Genomic DNA, 22101 nt, shown 5'->3' with positions numbered 1-22101 from the left:
TTGCTGCTGGATTGTGAATGGAAGGCCATATTCTTCAAGTCCTGCCACGTGAGAGCCTCCAGATACAGCTCCTCTATCACTCTGTCTACAAAAGGATTGTTTCTTTCAAATCTGAGCCACTCGACACTTCTGATGTTCCTGGCTTTGTCTGCTGATTACTGAATTCAAACAGAAAAAATAAAGTTTCAAAAGTCAGGCCCAAGTGAGGAGCTATAGGGGTTTGGGACAATCTTATGCAAGATAGATGGGAAATGTAAAAACAAAAGCTGCCAACTTTATAATTTGCTCATTTTTCTTAACATAGGAAACTGAACCTTGAATCACTTTGAAGCTCTTCTCCAGAGCAGAACTGGACTCCATATAGTTTTATTGTTGTTCTTTTTCTTTATTAAAATAGGGGTTTATTTTCATAGTAACAAAACTTATAGCACAGTATTCAGTCTGATACAATATTTTCTTCACCTAGAACTGCAAAAAGGAGATTTTCACTGAAATGGTAGGAATATAGGGGTGGGCAGTGGTGGGAGTACTATTTGTATTTATGTAATGTGATTATCATGAATCTATGAATGCTCAACTTGGTTCTCCTTGATTATATTTGTAGGTAACAGTGTTTTATCATTTATATTAGTTATGCAAATTGTTTACATAATGTATAGAGGTAATGACTCTGTGAGTGATGTATGTGTGTAGACTAGTGCTATTTTTAAAGAAAAAATATTTAAGTATTTGGAGCAGGCTAATTGAATACTGTGATTGTAGCCATCCTCTTCCTTTTAAAGGAAGAATAAATCATTCAGTCCTGAGCATGCTGCTGAGCCAGATCATTTCTCAAATACCCTTCTAGTTAGCTGTTTTCATTTTTTCCTAGGTGAGGATGTGTGGCTCCAAAGAATTTATTGGTTTCTTTTGTCTTTCTCTTTGAGAAATATAGAAATCCAACTGTGTTTCTATTGAGGGAGTCAGGGAGGACATTTGTGTAGTTGGAAAATAACATATTTCAAGAAGACTAGGTATTACTGAAACTCAAAGATGCAAATCTGAAAACACTACTCAATAGAATTTATTCAGGATAATCCTTGAGAAGAAAAAAATTATTGATCTGTAATAGGCAAAGTTACTAAGGTTGACAGTAGTAATTGTTGGTATAATAAGAATAATAATTGCCCCCCTGAGCTATTATGACTTAAAAAAACCTGAAAATGCTTAATATTCTTATTAGAGTTATTAATAGGAATATTGTGTTAACCACTATGTCAAAGACAATATATTGTAATTTAAATGCTACTCAGTATTTCAATTTTTTTATTCAATGAATGTTTGTTGAGCATTTACTTACTGTGTGTCAGATACAATGGTAATGCTGGGGATACAAGGGTAGACAGGACAAGTTCTCTGCTCTCATGAATTTCCCTGCAATGACACTAACCACTTAGGTACTTGTGGTCATTGATTCCTTTCCTTTCCTTTCCTTTCCTTTCCTTTCCTTTCCTTTCCTTTCCTTTCCTTTCCTTTTTCGTTTCTTTTTTCCTTTCCTTTTTCCTTTCCTTTCCTTTCCCTTTTGAGACAGAGTTTCGCTCTTGTTGCTTAGGCTGGAGTGCAATGGAGTGACCTTGGCTCACTGCAATCTCTGCCTCCTGGATTCAAGCGATTCTCCTGCCTCAGCCTCCTGAGTAGCTGGGATTACAGGTGCCTGCCATCACGCCCTGCTAATTTTTTGTATTTTTAGTAAACACAGGGTTTTACCATGTTGCCCAGGGTGGTCTCAAACTCCTGACCTTAGGCGATCCACTCTCCTTGGCCTCCCAAAGTGCTGGGATTACAGGCATGAGCCATCACACCTGGCTGGTCATTCATCTTAATAGAGTTACAGGAGTTTAATTTATTCACTTAGTAGGCAAATGATTATTGACAACTTACTATGTAGAGGGTATGCTGAGGATTCAGCACCAACAAAATATCAGAACCTCTGCCTTTATGAAGTTGAATATCTATTAGTGGATGTAGACAAGGACATAAGCTCTTAAAATACAGTGTTTTAAGTGTCATATGAGTGAAGTACCTTGTGGTATGGAGAAAATTTGAGGGGAATCTAACCATACCTTCAGGAGTCAGCAAAGGAAAGGAGAAAGGTCCAAGCTGAGACACCAAAGATATATAGGAATTAGCCAGTGCTTCAGGTACAGAACAGCTCATGAAAAGGACTAGAAACAAGAAAATTGAAGGAAATACAGTATTAGTGGTGTAGAGAACATCCAGGGAGGGGACTAGGAGTGAACTATGAGGCAGGAGACGTGGGATCATTAAGGACTTTGCACGCCATACTGAGGCATTGGACTTCATCCTACAATGTAACAGGGAACAACTGAAGTGTTTTGAACACAGAAGAGACACAATTAGGAATAGCTCTGTGTAAAGAGTATACTTACATTACTGCTCCATCTTTAAAAGCTTCACAACCCCAAAGGATGGTTTTTATGTATGTTTTAATTTGGCATGGGATTCGGGCTCAGATGTTTCAACTTATCTGAAATCAAATGTCAACTTAAAATTACTGTTTACAGAGTAAACTGCCTTTTTAGTTTGGATGTTTTTCCTTGCTGCTTTGCCCTAGTAAGCACCATAATCTTGGGTCTCTATTTAGACGTCCCATAGTGGATACTCTCCTCATTTAGAATGTGAGCGGGCAGGTTCTAGTGATCCCACAAAAGGCCAATGCTTGAAATGTTTGTTCCTGTCACAAAATCTATTCCAGAGATGCACAATTTCTGTCCAAAAATATTCTTTAATGCCTCCTGTTAACATCTGGGTGAGGCCTTCATCTAAATACTAACATGTCTTCAGTATCTGCTAGTCTCCACTTTAATAGCAGAAGGTGGGGAGCCTGAGGCACACAGCCTCTGTCAGGGAGCACAGGGAGCTTCCAAAACTAAAATCCTGAACTGGAAAAAATAGGGAAGTTGTGAAAATGAGGAAATCCAATTATTAAGTTTAGTTCATTACAAAGGAGTTAGAACCCTATGGCGGTTCCATTTGTATAATGGAGATCCAGCTCTCCTTTGAATTTCTCAGTTAAGGTGGTTTATTGTTGTGCCTCTGTGGTAAGAGAACATTTCTGTTTTTCCTGAAATAGGAGACAAATGTCTATGTCACATACAATAAAAAGTCTTGTCCTGAGTGTGTTTGATGGATCACTGGACTTTCAGTATGTGATTTTGGTGTGTCATGATGTTTTAATCTTTGGTGGTGTTTTATATCTGCCTTCAGAAGAAATCTTTCATGTATCACATGCAAACTGAGATTTTACTAATGTGCCTTCCTCTGTCCTCCTCTCTCTTCATAATAACCTAAAGAATGCTGCTTCTGGATGCAGTGCAGGGAGGCTCAGGGCTGACGCCACGGCCTGAATTGGAAGTGCTTTAAGGAAAACACCAATCAACCTCATGGTTAAAAAAAAAAACAACAACAACAACCAAATATAAGTTTCTCCAGGATTATACTGCTGACCTAACACAGACAATGGCATCTTTTAAAAACTTGTTTGAATTACAGAACAAATGACAAAAGAGACACATACAGAAAAATAGCTGCTGCAATCTCTATTTACAATCTCCAAGGCTAAGAATATACTTGTGCTTTGGTAATTGTTTTAGTGTGTGGAGCATATTCTCTTTCTTTTAAATTCCCACTCATCTTGAGCAACATTAGATTTTAAAAGTAAGAGATGAATGGAATTATTTTTTTTTTTTTCTGAGTGACTACTCTGAGCCCAGCACAGTCATTAATACAGTCCCGGCTTGATACATGTCTGTAACCCAGCAAATTCCTCTGAAGAGCTCACCTTTTAGAAGGTGCTCTTGAAAAATAAAGCCATAGCTTCGCTATACAAATACATGGACTATCTGCCAAATATCTCCATCATTTGCAAAGAAAATTACTGTTTAAATAATAAATGTAGAATCTCTCCACTAATAATATGAATATGCTATTTCTATGTGCATAGAATGCCCTCTGATTCTGGTAGGGAAGCATAGATATATGAGTTTTCTTAGTATTAAATCTACATAGATCCTTTGGATAGCTTTAAATCAATCTTTGTGGTATGCTGATAAATGTATGTATAACAATCAGCTTTCCAAAAAAAGAAAACAAAAGAAAGAAAGGAGAGAGAGAAAGAGAGAGAGAGAGAAAGCCCAGATTTGTAGTGTTTGCCAATTCTCGTGCTGTAAGTACACCATGGCCTATTTCAAGCTACCAATGAGACATCATTGTATGCAGAGTAGGAGGAAAAATATACACAACTGATGCCTGCAAGATACAGTAGTTCCATCTGACTCCAGCACAACACTGGCTATAACAACTAACAACTTCTCACGCTTCTAAACCCCATTGTGCAGCTCAATGCTATAGGCCTGGGTTTTGTAGAAGTAAATAGATTTTAGATAATTTTAAATAGTCTCTTTCTTCTATAGGCTTAAAAAATTAAATCATCTCTATGTAGCACACATAAGGGCAACACATTCTGCTAGGTATTAGGGAAAATAGGAAAAGATGTAAGATAATGCTTGTCCTTAAATTACTGTTTCATTTGGGATACTAAACATAAATTCAAAATATAGAAATAGTATAAGTAATAGTTTAGGAAAATATAGATACATAACAGATAGATAATAGAGAACTACCAAATGATATGTGAAGTCAGTAATTAGGATATGGGAGCTTACAAAAGTCCTAAAAGAAGACTTTATAAGGAGGTATATTGGAGAGACTTGATGTATAAGTGGCATTTGGATGCATGGCAACATCTGAGAAAGTATGGAGCTGAGACGGAATACATTTTAGAAAATCATGAACTAGGCAGGGACAGAGCGTTAGTGTAGACATATTTTAATAACAATGACTGATAGTCACTGGAGAGTTACTCTGTGCCAGACACTGTGCATAGCTTTATATAGAGTAGCTCATTTGATCATCACTGAAATCTAATCAGTCAAGTTGCTGGGAGTATTAAATGAGAAAATGCATGTTTCATAAGTGAAACATTAACCAAGTAGCCAAGGTTGGTTAGTAGACAATGGAACTAGGGCTTGAATTCAGGTTTCACTGCTCCCAAAGCCCATAACCTGAAGCATATTGCTAAGGTGAACAATTTTCTGGGAAACAAAGACACGGAATTTTGGGGATAAAATTATAAAAACTTTGAATATCAAGCAAAAGAGTTTGAATGTTGTTATTCAGAGCCATATATTTTTGTTTTTTTAAGACAAAGTCTCACTCTTTTGCCCAGGCTGGAGTGCAATGGCGCAATCTCGGCTTACTGCAACTTCCACCTCTCGGGTTCAAGTGATTCTCCTGCCTCAGCCTCCCATGTAGCTGGGATTACAGGCATGCACCACCATGCCTGGCTAAATTTTGTATTTTTAGTAGAGATGGGGTTTCGCCATGTTGACCAGGCTGCTTTCAAACTCCTGACCTCAAGTGATCCACCCGCCTTGGCCTCCCAAAGTGCTGGGATTGCAGGCATGAGCCACCATGCCTGGCACAGGGCCATATTAAGTAGAAAACCAATAATAAAACCTTTAAAAACTTGATCAAAAAGTAAAATGTCTAAATGCCCTTTCCTTTCCTCCTGTGATATCTTTTCTCATTTGATTTTGGAGTTCATTATGGCTAACTGGGACATAATGTGTGCACAAACCAAATATTACAAAAGTTTGAGATAATATCTTATAAATTAGGCAAGTCAGTAGTTAGCTTTCAAAACTTGATGATACTTGAGCAGAATATATATGAAGATAAGGCTTCAATACCAGGAGTCTACTGCTTCTTCCAAACATTTCTTGAATTATGTTTATATTAAGTTAACAGTTTGAAAAAAATGTCAAAGTACCACACTTTCCTTTCATCCTCATGATGCATATTGACAAGAAATGAATGTTTATTCTTATTTGTGTTGATAAATTATTTGCAATTGTATAGAGAACTTTAGATTGTCTATTAGTTTTGTGAAACTCTTTTTATCCCCCATAGTCAGGAAGCTTTCGATAAATAGGAGTCTGGAGAAGAAGAAAAATACATTCTTTTGGATAAATGAAAGTATTCTGGTCTTTGCTCATCTTTTCCAGACAGTAAAGTAGAGGCACTGTTCAATTTTTGATGAGATCCTTCTTGAAAGGGAAAATTGCTTGTTTAAGTAAAGCAAGTCTATACAGTTTAAAGTAACTGTTCAGTATCCAAATCATTAAGCATATTGCCAAATAACCTTCTGTAAGATACTTATAGTGCCTATGAATACCTTTAAAATGAAGGGAAGAGGAGGAATTTTCTTCCTTTCTTTGAAAAATAATGAATAGAATAAAACTGCTTTTTGATTTATGGATAATAAAATAGGGCAGTATATATGCATTTTTCTTTTGATATTTAAATAAATTCACTAACATTTTAATTTTATTGTTATTACTTATAACATAGTCCTTATCCTATTAGGCACTTCTTTCCTTTCTTTCTGTACAGAAAAGGAATGATGAAAAGAAATTTGCATTTTGCAATGATTGCATACACCAAATATTACAAAAGTTTGAGATATGCCTTACTAGTTGAGTAAGTATAACAACCTTAAGTTAGAAAAACCATCAAAAAGAACAAAGCATTACTGAATACTGAAAGTTTGAATTGTGTAAGACATATCTTTTGTGTCAGTGGCTTTAAAACTTTCTTATTTATGTTGTGAACCCATCTCAGAATCTAACAGAAAGCATGTTCACAAAGATACACGATTTTTCATACTATTTTAAAGGATATGCTAATTGCCTGAACTCCATCTATGGATATTCTAGCGTCTAAGGATTAAGAAAATGTGGCACATATACACCATGGAATACTATGCAGCCATAAAAAATGATGAGTTCATGTCCTTTGTAGGGACATGGATGAAACTGGAAACCATCATTCTCAGCAAACTATCACAAGGACAAAAAACCAAACACCGCATGTTCTCACTCATAGGTGGGAATTGAACAATGAGAACACATGGACACAGGAAGGGGAACATCACACTCCAGGGACTGTTGTGGGGTGGGTGGAGGGGGAGGGATAGCATTAGGAGATATACCTAATGTTAAATGATGAGTTAATGGGTGCAGCACACCAACATGGCACATGTATACATATGTAACAAACCTGCACATTGTGCATATGTACCCTAAAACTTAAAGTGTAATAATAATAAAATTTTAAAAAAAGAATATATTTACTTGGCACACCATCTTAGATCTAATTAATTCTAATATTTTGGTTTTTAATATCTATCTATATTTAATTTCTAATTTATAGACAAATAATTTACCCAGTCTTCATATTTAGTACCTTTCTCTTTTCTAATTTAGGTTCTTAAAACATTTCATTACAGAATGTTTTTAAAAATTTTTTTGCAGAACCAAAAGTTTATAAAAACATACTTTATTCACTGTCATTACTCCTATATTTTTTATGGACACATTCTAAAATTGTGAAGCTTTAAATTTTAAGCTTGTACTTCATACAAGTTTACACTAGAATCTAGTTTATGAGAAAAGAGCAAGCTACTTTTTTAACGTTTTAACGTTTCTGGACATATCGTTTTATGATCTTCTAGTTAGCTTTGCACTGGATCATGAAATAGCTGTGGAGCTGACATTTTCCAGAGTATCAGACAGAGGAAGGCAAGGAAACCTTTAGAGTGGTATCTGGGCATTAAGGTTTTAAAAAGCATAACAATTAAAGGATTTTCTCAAAATTGATATCTCAATCATAAAAGCCAACAGCCAAAAGCTCTAGGGCTTAAAACAAGCAAACAAAAAGCTGTTTGGACCATACTTGGCAGCCAGATTAACTTTAGTAAAACAATGTTACGATTGCAGCTCATTTTGCATTGGCTTTTATTCACGTGCTTTTTGGTGAGAACAAGACGGCTGTTCCTTTGATAAGTGTTGCCCAACCCACCATACGCACCATCCAAGGGTCCTGGCAGGTGGATTTATCACATATTCTGCCACATTGTGCATGGGCTTCATTCAATAATCTGCAGGAGTAATTAATTTATGATAGAGAGAGAGAGGGAGAGAGCGTGTGTGTGTGTGTGTGTGTGTGTGTGTGTGTGTAATTGATTCACAGGCATGTAGACCAGAGCAAGGACCAGGAAACTACTCTCTATGTAAAATCACTCCTTGCCCAACCTATTCAAGCTCTTCTATCAAGTTGATTTCTTTTTCTTATCTCCTCCTGGCTCCCCTCCCCAGTGTGCCCACAGTTGTAAGTCAGTCTTTTGAAGGAAAGATGAAGGCAATGTCTAGTACAGCCTTACTCAGATGAGTCTCCTCCATGTCTATCTCTCTGGCCTTTTTTTCCCACTTGGTGTCACAATGCATCCCTGCTCTTAGTGGTAACAGATAATAGATTACAGTCCCACTGGTTTGCCACTTCCTTCATGCTCAAGACAATGAGGCCTGTAAAAGAAAGACGGTTACTTGGGCAATTAGGTGGTTAGGCATTGCTAACAATCTTGACTTTTTATGCTGGTGACTATACTTGTGCTTGTATGAGGGAATGAGGAACTGTCCTAGCATTCTGGCGCAGCAGTTCTCTGCTTTTGATACCAGCTCAAGAGTATTTGAGGCTGCCAGTAACTGTCCGATTTTGAACAGTTATGGACTTTTCTCTTGTACTTAAATCTTGAATTGGCTCTCACTCTACTGATTTCTTGTTCCTTTATATGGTGTTCTCATACATGTGTTCCATACATATATTTTAACAGGAACAGCAAGAACAGTTTGTGTTCTGAGATTGACATCACCTGCTGATAGGATATGGGTTAATTTAGTTGGTAGAGAAATGCGCAAAAAGGAAAAGCTTTCTTCAACGAGATATAATGCACCAATTCTACCTTTATCAGTAATCTGTTGAATGGCCTTGGGTAAGCCTCTTAATCGATTCTGCTTCTGTTTTTTTCCTCTGTGAAAAAAAGAATTATAAAGACATCCTGCAGCTGAAAGGAATGTTAATGATCCTAAAACACTAGAATATTAAAAGGAGGTGCACTGAGCATTGATGGTGCTGCTAGTTCCAGAGAAAGCTTATGCTAAATCCCCAGACAGTTTCAACTCTTCACTGTCTGGATTATTCAAAGCATGTTCAGATGTTTCTGGACAAATAAAACAATGGTTGAATAATTAGGGTATAGTAAAAATGGTACAAGTGTATGCAGGTTAAGTCAATCTTGTGAAGAGGTTAAGGAAACATCTGCCAAATTCTTTTAAAAACCTAGTATAAATGAAAGGCATATTTTAAAACAAGGTATTTACAGATGATGACATCTAATTTATTAAAATCTCATTGCTCATGGGAATATGTACTTGCCAGTAAGAAGATAATTGTTTAAATATATGATCTCATGGAATAAATATGTTGTATAGCTAGGGTTATAAACAGGAACATTATTTAAATATACACTGGAATTTGTTATTATACTCTTTTAAGATTGGACTTTAAATGTTTTAACACTCAAGGATATTAATCTGCTGATGGTAAAATTTTCACATTGGTACTTTCTCCACATTCATATTTCTAATCAGTAAAGGAAGCCAAGGGGTAAAATTTGTAATTTACAAAGTAGAATTCTGTGAGATTGAAGCAGCCCTTAATTCTAGCCATCTCGTCTGTTTATGGAAGGGTGTTGCTTCTGGGTGTTTGAAGTGTAAATCTGGGAACTCTTCAGCCTTAGAGCTAAGAGAAATGGCCTTAGAGCCATTTCTAAGGTAACCAGCATCCAAAACACAGACAGCTTTATAAGTCAGAATTAACACCTTGAATTGTTTCTCAAAGCCAAATGGAAGTTCTCAAAACTTCTGGAGCCCAGTTGATGTCACCGTGTTACCAGTTTCCTGGACAGATGTAGCTCCAGCATTCTCACCAGTTAAAAGTTTCTCTCTCTTTCGTAGGCTTGTGTAGTTCTTGAGAATAGCTGTATGTAGGGCATCTAGTTATAATCCAGCTGAGAAATTAGACTGCCAGAGGTCAGAGTGGCCACTGTGAAGCCAATTTATTTTATTTCAAACGAGACCAGGCTACCCCTTAGGGCTCCATCCACATGTTTCTGACCTCTTTCTGGGAGAGGGCAAAAATCCATACATCTGATTACACACTCAAGCTCTCATCAAAATAACTCCAATCTAAGTCAGCTTGATCAGTTCTGATAAGGCCGTTGACTAGGTTTGAGGGCCAAGATCAGAAGCAGCGGGACAAGGATGACACAGGGAGGAGTGGTTTGTTTTGGAATTCCTGGTATTTCAATTCTGATACTTTTCAAAGGAAAGAAAATGATCACTAAAAGAGTAATAGGTAGACAAAGTAAGTTGCCTTGGGCAAAAGTGGCGTTTGCCCTGAATAATTAGGTGCTCTCTCTATGTGTTTATGTGTGAACCTAGTAATCCAAGTAGCAAAATGGGCTAACAGCATTGCACATTTATCTTCATCTGTTACATGAGAAAATGGTAGGGTAACACAAATGAAAGAGGTTTTAAGGAAACCAGTTTGGCAGGGCCACATTAATATTTAAGAGTTGATTCACACAATATCCTGCTTTAAGTTTAGTCTGAAATAACTTGGAAAACTTTCAGAATGATCAAGTAGTATAAAATAAACATTTAACTTCATTCTCTTGGCCACAAATTTCAAATTCTGTGATAAGATAACCTAAAGAGCTTTATCCCTTCTTGATGCATTTCCCAATTTTATCTTGAATTCCAAATTTAAAGAAACCATCATTATTGCCTAAGTTTTGTGGGGTTGCTGCTATTGCTGTCACTTGCCAAGTGTAATCAGTGTTTACTAGTTGAACCACAAATACATAGTATTAACCATGTTCTAAAGATTTAAAAAAGGAAAGGAGATAAGGGACTTGCTGTAAAGTCTTTGTCATTTTCCTATGAAATGCCAGCCAAAAAGGCACTTTTCTAAGAGGGGAAAAAAAAATACTTGAGAACTTAAACTCTTTGGCAGTGCCTAAGCTTTTCCTGAATTCCTTCATTAGAAGAACCCTGTGGCATGGCACCTACAGAATACTTTTATGGTGTTTTCATGGCATTTACACTCATCCTTAGCTCTCACAGAGCTTTCTTCAGTAACCAGGTCTTTTGGGACAGCAGACGGGAAGAAGGATAATTATGAAGAAAGCCAAGTTCACAAAATTGCTGAGATAATTTAACTTCTTACATGGCCAAACCCACATAAGATGAAGTCATTTGCATGCTGCCTAGGACATGCGTTTTCCATAAACCCTACCACTGACTCATGGTGCTTAGTCATCAACATTCTAATGTCCCCACCTGTAAAACAAAGATAATAGTATCAGTCACATGGACAGTGATGAAACGAAACTGCTTTTAGAGGACTTTGACCTTGCCAGTAAGTGAAGTCCACATAACTGTGTTCTTTAGCAGAAAGGTGTTTTATTAAAGAAGCATATGGACAAGGAACTATCTCTGAAATGTTTTCAGAGCTTCTCTGGTGTTACATGCATAGTAAATATTTTCTTTAAATTAGATGAAAAATGTGAGTAGTCCTTTTATATACTGTCATGAAATTGCTCTCTTTGTGTTATGTTACATAATGGTTTCCTTTTAGTTTTGTGACTCTGCCGTTTTCTGGTGAATTATTGATATTTAATCCTCTTGCTAAGACCACAGCATTTACATGGAAGCTTCCACTCTGGCCTTTGCAATTCTCCTTGCCCTGATTTTTAATTTTTCTACAGCACTTCTCTTTCTCTTTCAATATACTTTATGAGTAATTGATTGATTGATTACATTAAATGTTTGTTGTTATCATCCCCCACTGGAATATACTTTCTAGGAGTTTACACATTTCTGTTTTGATTAATAACATATCCCCAGTATCTAGAACATGTCCTGACATAGAGTATTGGTTAAATATTTCCACTGAATAAATGAAGTACTTGTTTGGATTCCAGCTTCCACTCAGTTTCTACAACTTAGAGCTGAAATTTTACTCAGGCTTTTGAACTAATCTGGCCCTAAATCCATCCACTAACACTTTCTTTCTTCCCTCTTATCGTCCTACCTTCTTTCCGGCTGTCTGTTCTCAGCTTCCAGTCTATTTAGGATTTACTCTTTCCATTGCCACCCGGAACAGTGGGAAGAGACTATCGCTCTCTCATTTGCTTGGTTTTGACACTTGCTTTTAGCTGTTAGTTGTGATTCTCTGACTAAGGGCTACTACAATCTGGTGAATCATTTATCTGAAGAAGAATTATAGAGGCACAGTCAATAAGTACAAAATGGCTGCCAGTGCTTTATGGGGGGAACATATGTGTGGATGTTGGAATTGATAGTCCCTGGGACAGTGTGTTACAAAGGGCCCTTCTGGCATCTGATTATCTTTCAACAAGAAAAGCATGTATACTGATCGATGTTATTATGTGGCCTTTTAAACTTTCAATTCATTTCAGATGTGGCTTAAAGTAATGTGTCATCCAGAGTTTGTTCGCCTGTTGGATGATTCATTCATTGATCTTCCAAACAAACAGATGGTGGGTAGGGGAGAAGACAGTGGAAAAAGAAAGGAAAGAAAGTAACAAAAGGGGAAATAATGTTGACATGAAGATGTCTGTTTTGTGATTTTTTTTATCTCTTAAAAACTAGAAATGACTATCTTGGTTTCTTCTGTGAAAAATTCAAACTAGTAATACCATAAACTTGAAGTAAGTTCCATGGTTTAACTGAAATATCTGCAGTATTGTTTGTTTTATGGTTGTCGTTTTCATCTAAATGAAGATGATATTTATATAGGACAGTGAGGCTAGAACATAAGTAATACATTGGATTTGATGACTCTGGTTGAAAATATTAAACATTTGGGGTAAAACGGGATCATATCATGAATGGTTCTTTACTTTGTACTCAAAAGAGTCAGGCCATAAAATTTATTGCATGTTTTATAGAAAGCCAAAAATAGTGTGTGTTTTTTGTCAAGACACTTGGCGATTCATTCAAAAAACATGACAGTACCTTCCAAGTACAAGGCGCTGTGCCTAGGGCTACAGCAGGAGAGAGACATGGGATGAGATCTAAAATTTCGCCTGTTTCTTTCAAAAATTATTTTTAAGCCTCACTAAACTCTTCAACGCAGGTATTATGTTTATTTTCTAAGTACAAAAACTGAAGATGAGAAAAGTTAAGTAATTATTCCAAAGTCACATTGCCTATATGTGGCAGAAGCAGTATTCAAAATGGTGGCACTAAACCTATGGTATTTTGATGAAGCCACCTTCAAAATATTCACAACCCAGAAGAGACAATCTCTGTCTCTCATTCGCTCAACTTCTCTCTGTCTCTGACTTACTCAATCACACACATACACACACATGCACCTAGAATATAAGGGAAGATGTAATACATAAATAAATAAAAGGGGGGCAAATAGTCACTTATTTGATGATTTTGAGTATGTAGATTTGAAGGGCTTCCTTAAATGCCTGGACATCTGGCTGAGTACAGTAGTTCATGCTTGTAATCCCAGCACTTTGGGAGGCCAAGGCGGGAGGCTCACTTGAGCTCAGGAGTTTGAGACCAGCCTGGGCAGCATAGCAAGACCCTGTCTCTAGAAAAAAATTAAAAATTAGCCAGGCATGGTAGTACACACTTGTAATCTCAGCTACTCGAGAAGCTAAGGTAGGAGTATTGTTTGAGCCTGGGAGGTTGAGCTGCAATGAGCACTCTAACCTGGGCTACAGAACAAGACCCTGTCTCAAAAAAGAAAAAAAAAAAAGCCTGGACATTTGCCAGCATTTCACATTGTTGTCTGGTTATTCAGTGACATGCATGTATTCACAACTATCCATGTCTACTTTGTGCACATACTAAGTACTGAGATGCTGACATACACACATACTTAAGACGTACTGTTACCTTTGAGTCTTAGTTTTATGCAAGACAGTGATATATCAAAAAACTGTTATGGTATTGGCCAATTATCCAGTTCTTTTGAAAATATACCAGGTAGAAAAACAAACTGCCTCTTTCAACAGAATAAAGAAGGTACAGTTGGTGGTTAGAATGCTATAATCCTGTATGGAAAGGAAAGTGGGGCTTAAGTAGTACAATGAGGCTTAACTGAGGACAAATATATTCCATTCCATTTTCCTATCCTTCCCTTTCAAAGCATTGCTTTGAAGCTCTGTCTCCCTCATAGTGTTCATGTTTTGCATCCCCTGGAAAAATATTTTTTTCAGAGCTTACAGATGGCAATTAGATGACAGGCTTATGGAAAATAATTATTTAAAACTGCATAGAACTTTGAAATCCTTGGAGAAAAGTCATGGCATGGCTATACAAATCATGGATGGTGGTTACACTACAGTCACTCAGCTCAATATAGCAAACTATTAGTTTGCATTTCCAAAGTAATATCTAGTTGAGGGAATGGCGAATACTCTGTCAAATACTGGGAACAATCATATTTCACTGGAAACAATGTCAATTTAAAATATCTTATGATTTTAGAGAAGTGTGAAAAAATATACATCTTAGAATTGGTGAAGTAGGGTGTAGATTCAATAAAGTTCTCCGACAAAACAGAACTGATAGGATGTGTATATATACAGAAAGAAAGATTTATTTTAGGGAAATAGCCCATGTGACTGTTGAGGTTGGCAAATCCAAAATCTGCAGGGTAGTTTGGCAGGCTGGAGACCCAGGGAAGAGCTGCAATTTGAGTCCAAAGCAGTCTCCTGGCAGTATTCCCTCTTCCTCTGAGGAGGTCAGGCTTTTTGTTTTAAAGGCCTTCAGCTGACTAGATGAGACCTACTCACATCATGAGGTGTAATCTGTTTTACTCAAAGTCAACTGATTTAAAAGTTACTCTCATCTAAGAATATCTTCATAGAAACATCTAGAATAATGCTTGAGCAAATATCTGGGTATATTGTCTAGCCAAGTCGACATAAAATTAACCATCACGGCCGGGCGCAGTGGCTCACACCTGTAATCCCAGCACTTTGGGAAGCCAAGGCGAGCAGATCACAAAGTCAAAATATCGAGACCATCCTGACCAACATGGTGAAACCCCATTTCTACTAAAAATACAAAAATTAGCTGCTCATGGTAGTGTGCACCTGTAGTTCCAACTACTTGTGAGACTGAGGCAGGAGAATCGCTTGAACCCGGGAGGCAGAGGTTGCAATGAGTCGAGATCATGTCACTGCACTCCAGCCTGGAGACAGAGTCAGACTCCATCTTAAAACAAACAAACAAACAAACAATTAGCCATCACAGGGTGACATCAGGAAGTATGGGGAGAGTCTCTTCATTGACAGAAATATTAGTACTAGAAGTGACTCCTAAACAGAGTCCAGAGACCAGAAGGGACAGAACAGCGAGCACTTTGCTCTGCCTCTCAAGGCTTCTGTAGGGGTTGGAGTTCATTGTCTCTGATCTCTTCAGGCCCCTCCCTCAGAGAGAAACATCCGTAACACACCTAACCTAGACCTTAGAATACAACTGTGGTGCGGTATGAAGGGGAAGAGTCTGTCCTTTTCTCCACATCACTAAAGTTTACATTTTTCTGTTTTCCTAACTTAACAGAGGCCAGACACCCAAGGGGAGGGTGGGAGATGTAGAGAGAAATCACGTATGCTTCAAATATATGAAATACAGTGTTTTTCTAAGTTTCGGTTATCTCTTCTTAGTTGGAATTTGTGTAAGTGGACAGATGAAGGGTAGAGGGGGGATGAAGAAAGAGAAATTGTGGGGGAGGAGAAGCTCAGACTCAACACTGTCTCCACCCACCCTTCTGTCAGATTGCACTTCAACCCTAACCCTAACCTCAGTCTCCCACCACTGAGCCCCTCTCCAAGCTCTCCTGGGTCCACTGCTCTTCCTCTTGCTAATGCTGCTAAGGTCTATTGTTGGAAACAGTAATTCCCTGTTAAATATTACCTACATTCAATATCTTTCCTTCTAGCCTATTGCACAATCCTTGAACCACTGACTCACACTTGCTTTATATAAATATATATATTTTGGTTACAATCATAGACTTTGCAGTCACCAAATTTCTGCTTCACCTATTGTGTTCAGCTCTCTCATCCATAAAATTGCGATAATGATAGTTCTTATGCAATAGGTTAGTTAGGAAGAGTAAATGAAACAGGATAAGGAAAATTCCTAGTACAGGGCCTGGCAAGAAATGAGCTCCCAATAGTTGTTTGGTATTATCATTCTCTTTTATCTGACATAGTTTCCCCATGAGATCACAATGCTGATTATTTGCAAACTGAACTGGTAAACAGAATACAAAGATGAAGCAGTAGGGTCCCTTCTTTTGGCCAGCTCCAAGGATAATTGGAGTGATACTATGATATGCTTCCGTTCGTTTTCATCCATGTCAACCATGAAAGACAGAGTTGATCTCAGCCTGAGCTAGAGGTAAACTATCTATGTGGTGAGAGTTACAACAATGATATAATGACAATCCAGGTAGCCTCTTGGCTTAATGTGGCCCATGGACATGTTTTGTGTGGTGAAGGGTTTTTGGTTTTTGTTTTGTTTTCAATGAAGCAGCATGCCTTTAGACAGGGCCAGTGCTCTCTCCAGCCACTCTCTGTGGTCTTGTAACCATCATATCACACATTCACACATAGTTACCTGTCCATCCACCTCATTGTCCTTGAAGTTGTGACCTACCACTATACATCATGGGGAGATATAGTAAAGATTTCAAAGCAGTGAATCGTTCAATGTTCCTCACTCTTAAAAACATAACAAACAGCATAGTTAAAAACAAGTCCTATTTAGGAAATGAGGTAAGAAGGGAAAACCTAATCATTTGCTCATCCTAAAGAAGCATTCTTAAATTTGAATATATGTGTATTTTTATTATTATTATTATTTTTAAATTATACTTTAAGCTCTGGGGTACATATGTGCAATATGCAGGTTTGTTACCTAAGTATACATGTGCCTTGTTGGTTTGCTGCACCCATCAACTCATCATTTGCATTAGGTATTTCTCCTAATGCTATCCCTCCCCTAGCCCCCCATCCCCTGACAGGCCCCAGTGTGTGATGTTCCCTTCCCTGTGTCCATGTGTTCTCATTGTTCAGCTCCCACTTATGAGTGAGAACATGCTGTGTTTGGTTTTCTCTTCTTGTGTTACTTTGCTAAGAATGATGGTTTCCAGTTTCATCCATGTCCCTGCAAAGGACATGAACTCATCATTTTTTATGGCTGTGTAGTATTCCATGATGTATATGTGCCACATTTTCTTTATCCAGTCTATCATTGATAGGCATTTGGGTTGGTTCCAAGACTTTGCTATCATGAACAGGGCTGCAATAAACATACATGTGCATGTGTTTTTATAGTAGAATGATTTTTAATCCTTTGGGTATATATGCAGTAATGGGGTTGCTGGGTTAAATGGTATTTCTAGTTCTAGATCCTTGAAGAATCACCACACTATCTTCCACAATGATTGAACTAATTTACACTCCCACCAACAGTGTAAAAGCGTTCCTATTTCTCCATGTCCTCTCCAGCATCTGTTGTTTCCTGGCTTTTTAATGATTGCCATTCTAACTGGCACGAGATGATACCTCATTGTGGTTTTGATTTGCATTTCTCTAATGACAGTGATGATGAGCTTTTTTTCATATGTTTTTTGCCTGCATAAATGTCTTCTTTTGAGAAGTGTCTGTTCATATCCTTTGCCCAGTTTTTGTTGGGGTTTTTTTTTCTTGTAAATTTGTTTAAGTTCTTTGTAGATTCTGGATATTAGCCCTTTGTCAGATGGATAAATTGCAAAATTTTTCTCCCAATCTGTAGGTTGCCTGTTCACTCTGATGATAGTTTATTTTGCTGTGCAGAAGCTCTTTAGTTTAATTGTATCCCATTTGTCAATTTTGGCTTTTGTTGCCATTGCTTTTGTTGTTTTAGTCATGAAGTCTTTGCCCATGCCTATGTCCTGAATGGTATTGCCTAGGTTTTCTTCTAGGGTTTTTATGGTATTAGGTCTTACATTTAAGTCTTTAATCCATCTTGAGTTGATTTTTGTGTAAGGTGTAAGAAAGGGATCCAGGTTCAGCTTTCTTATGTGTATTATTTTAAGGGATCGTGTGTGTTCTGAGTCCAAGGAAATCCATGGTAAAAGTAATGGGAGCCTTTGGATAGTGTGAGTTAGAATTTAACCTCACTCCCATTGAGGGTCTCCCTTTAGGTTTTCCTAGGAGTCCCCCAGAGTGTCTCACAAGGGCTTAGACATAGATCCTATATGACACACTATAGCATATGTCACTTTCTACTTTCCTGCCCTGGTGCCCTTAAGCAAAGGTCATGTCAAACAAAGCTGGATGAAATAGCCTCCTTCCGGTCCCTCCATAAGCTTCCTTTTCCAGTATATGTGCTGCCGAAGCGAGCACCATAAGCTTCCTTTTCTAAATGTAAGGCCTCTGTCAGTTGACATCAGCATCTCTTTGGGACATCCATACCTATGCAGATGCTGAAACCACTCCAAGATACACCAGTGCCACTTCCCTGCCAGACACATTACTTCTGCCCCCACATTTCCTCTGGATACTGCAGCCTGTGTGTTTGGGCCTGAATGTGCTTAAGTCATCCAGGTACCAAAGCTGTGCTATCTTCCTCACAGAAATGGAGTAATCACCACCTCCAACAGCCACTTTTGTGTCACTGGCTGGCACATAGGCATCACCAGAGCATTTTCTAAGCTCCACTGCTTTACAGAGTGAAGGGAGTCCTTCTAGGTTTTCTCAAAACACCTCTGCTCCCTAGCACCTAGCTGTTTGTGTGTGATGTCAGACCTAAGAGATAGACACCATGTAGCGCTAAGAAGTGAGTGAACCTCAGATACCTGAAGTTTAGTTGGGTCAAGTTTATTTGCCTGATTCTCCTTTCCCGCAGGGTGAGTTTTTCCTTCAGAGGCTACTCTTTGATTTAATTAGAGTTGTACTGGTCTTGTCCCATCAGGGCCGTAAGTGCACAGATGTACAACAGAGTACTCAGAAACATAAGTGCACATATGTGTAACAGAATACTCAGAATAAATCAAATTTAAATCCTCTTATAGGCTGGAAAGTCTTTTAAAATAAGCTGTACTTTCTGGTGCCTCAAAGATGAGCTAGCTGATCATTCTCCTTTGGGTAGATTCCTTTAGTCTGAGAAGAACCACCTGGATGTATTGCATGTAAAGCTGATACTCCAGTTCAGGGAGAGCATATAATGAGACTAAATTGAGCCAGGCCTGGATCCAGCTCTATGGATGGATAGAGTTCCCATACCCCTCTGTGAAACTCAGTGCCCTAAAGAGATTGGAGATTACAAGATACAAATTCTGGAAAAGTACTTGCTACACAGGAGCTTGTGCGGTGAAACTCTTCAGGTCCCAGTTCTTCCACTTTGTGTTTCAGTTTTAAAAACACATCCAAAGGACTGGCAGTAACCTCTATTAAGGTGAGATGGCAAGAAAAGACTAAAGAGCTGCTCTGAAATTAGTCACCAAGCAATAGTCCAGGAAAGCTGGAGGGAAATGGATCCATACTAGCTTTGTAGAATGCACCCAGGATGTGGGTTGTGAGAGTGGCGACTGGCTCTGGGATGTTCAGAGTGGTACTGGCATCTCCTCTTACCCACTTCTAGGGTGCCACCACATGCTTTGGAGGAAGTGGCTGCTTCTGAGTGACCGGCAATGGCTAACACTCAGCACTGTACACTTGGCAGCCGGGCTAATTTTGAGTGTAAGCTTACTGCTGGGGGAGGGTATGTCCTGCTTCCCACAGGAATTCTGTGTCTTGGTAAGGTTTCAACACACTAGTGAGTAGAACTTGGATTAGATTGTCTTGGTTTTGGCAGTCAATCTGCACTTCAGCAAAAATGAAGTGAAATAGGGCATTCTGCCCCCAATAGCTCCATCATGCACATGATGACAGCTTCTGTGAAAGCTGCCAAGATTGCTCAGCTTCAGAACGATGCAGAGGTAGCTCTCAATAGCTTTACACTCAGTAACATGAAAAGGTAAGGTTTTATGCAGCACTATTCATAACAGCCAAAAGCTACAGACAACCCAAATGTCCATCAGCAGATTAATGGATAAAAATGTGGTATGTAAATGATGAGAACTTATGAACACAAAGAAGGGAATAGCAAACACTGGGGTTTACTTTAGGGTGGAGGGTGGGAAGAAGGAGAGGAGCAGAAAAGATAACTATGTGGTTCTGGGCTTAATACCTGGTTGATGAAATAATTTGTACAACAAACCCCTGTGACACTAGTTTACCTATAACAAACCTTCACATGTACCTGAACCTAAAATAAACGTTTAAAAAATGTCATATGTACATACAATGGAATATTATTTGGCCTTAAAAAGGAATAAAATTCTGATACATGCTATAGCATGAACAAACCAAAAGGACATTATGCCATGTGAACTATCACAAAAGAACAAATACTGTATTATTCCACTTATGTAAGGTACCTAGAGTAGTCAAATTCATAAGGACAGAAAGTAGAGTGGTGGTTACCTGGAACTAGGGGCAGAACGGAATAGGGAATTATTGTTTAATGGGTAAGAGAGATTCTGTTTGTGATGATGAAGTTCTTGAAATAGGCAGTGGTGATGATTGGAAACAATATGAAGGTACTTAATGCCATTGAATATAGGTAAAATCTGTATTTTACCACAATAAAAAATTTTAAAGAAGTAAGGTGTTGGAGGTTGGATTGGTGGATAACTGCATTTGTTGCTACTCTGATCATATGGGATCTAGAAATCTATGTAACTTGAATATCAAAGCAAATCTGATCTTATTTTTACTTACGAGTTAGTGATGTCAGGAGAATTCTGTATTACAAAAATCTGATGTACAAGAATACAAACAGAAATGAGCATCCTTTAATTTGAGAGATTTCTTCAAGCCTTTAAATTATTTATTTTAGATGGATCCCCATCCATGTACCTTTGCTCAACTGTCCTCAGACCAGGTAAGGTTCAAAATCCAAATATAACTATACCTAGGAAATGACTGTGAACCATGTCCTCCAAATTGTTCTGCCAGCGGTACTGTGTGGAATTTTTAGGCTTCTTATTTCCATACTCAGTTCCCCTTCCACACCAAGCCCGTTGCCCAATCCTCATATTGTACTGGGAATATGAACTGTGTGGGGATTTTGTTAACATGCGTCTTCTGATTCAATAGGACTTAGACTGCATTTCTCACAAACTCCAAGGGAGCATGCTGGTCTGAGAAACACCTTTTGAGCAGCAAGGCCCCGGTCATGATCCCTTTTGTGTCTGGTGTGTGGGTCTTTTTCTTTGACTGGAACGCATGCCACCTTGAAGGCCAAAACTTGGACTCACAACTGTGTATCTCTTCCAGCCTCCAGCATGATGACGTATGCAGACATAGGAGCCCACAATACTGGTGCAATGATTAGTGTCAAATTACAAAAATGTAAACAGCAAATATAGAAAGAGGAAGAAAATATTAATTAGAAAATAAAAATGGAAAAACTGTGAATAGTGTGTGATATCCCAGATGAATAGACTTTCCTAAGTAAAACAAATGAGCTTTATAATACTTCAATGCTCACATGGCCTTGATTAAAAAGTTTAATACTCAGGAAAATATGTAGGAAAAAGTACAGATGATTTTCTTATTAGGCTGACAAGTGGCATCTTTGAAAGGAATTTTATCTTTCAAATTTCAAAAAGGCTTGTCTCATTGCACACATGAAAATCAAACCAATTCTTGCCTGTCTAAATTAATTTCCAGGGATTCTGTGTGTGGGGCACCATATAATAATTCCACAATATTTAGCACAGTGCTTTGTCCTTAAGCAACTATGAACAACTCCTCAGCACTGTTGTTCTTCTTTGGAATAAGTCTACATAATAGGCCTCAGGAAATAAATACAATATTAGAGTGTAAGAAAATCAGTTAATGAAAAATAATCATGAGTGAAACTGATCCTTGTTGATGTATAAAATAAATTTTATGCTACATAGTTATAAGGTTGCCGATGAGAAATATCT

The 22101-nt window shown here is 38.0% G+C and overlaps 1 long non-coding RNA gene across 3 annotated transcripts in view, besides 1 other annotated feature; it reads left to right on the top strand.

Annotated features, from left to right (window-relative positions):
* The window catches only part of LINC02542 (long intergenic non-protein coding RNA 2542), a 257985-nt gene that overhangs the window by 151859 nt on the left and 84025 nt on the right, over positions 1-22101 (top strand). The window contains exons 1-2 of one of the 3 annotated variants that reach the window (NR_149134.1): positions 11486-11586; positions 21006-21050. The exons of 1 other annotated variant lie outside the window; for it this stretch is intronic. This is a non-coding gene — a long non-coding RNA (long intergenic non-protein coding RNA 2542). Of the gene's footprint in view, positions 1-11485; positions 11587-16426; positions 16479-21005; positions 21051-22101 lie in introns of those variants that run through there. One more of the 3 variants, NR_149136.1, reaches the window with a different exon arrangement.
* Positions 11059-12258: an enhancer, noted in NCBI's record as "P300/CBP strongly-dependent group 1 enhancer chr6:82647366-82648565 (GRCh37/hg19 assembly coordinates)". NCBI's record gives its function as "activates an origin of replication core promoter dependent on BRD2, BRD4, P300/CBP, MED14 and CDK7 cofactors, with strong dependence on P300/CBP, by STARR-seq in HCT116 cells {active_cell/tissue: HCT116}" and the evidence as "EXISTENCE:reporter gene assay evidence [ECO:0000049][PMID:35650434]".

This window comes from Homo sapiens, chromosome 6, assembly GCF_000001405.40.
Source record: "Homo sapiens chromosome 6, GRCh38.p14 Primary Assembly".
Lineage (NCBI taxonomy): Eukaryota > Metazoa > Chordata > Mammalia > Primates > Hominidae > Homo > Homo sapiens.
This window is presented reverse-complemented; position numbering and strand designations above follow the sequence as displayed.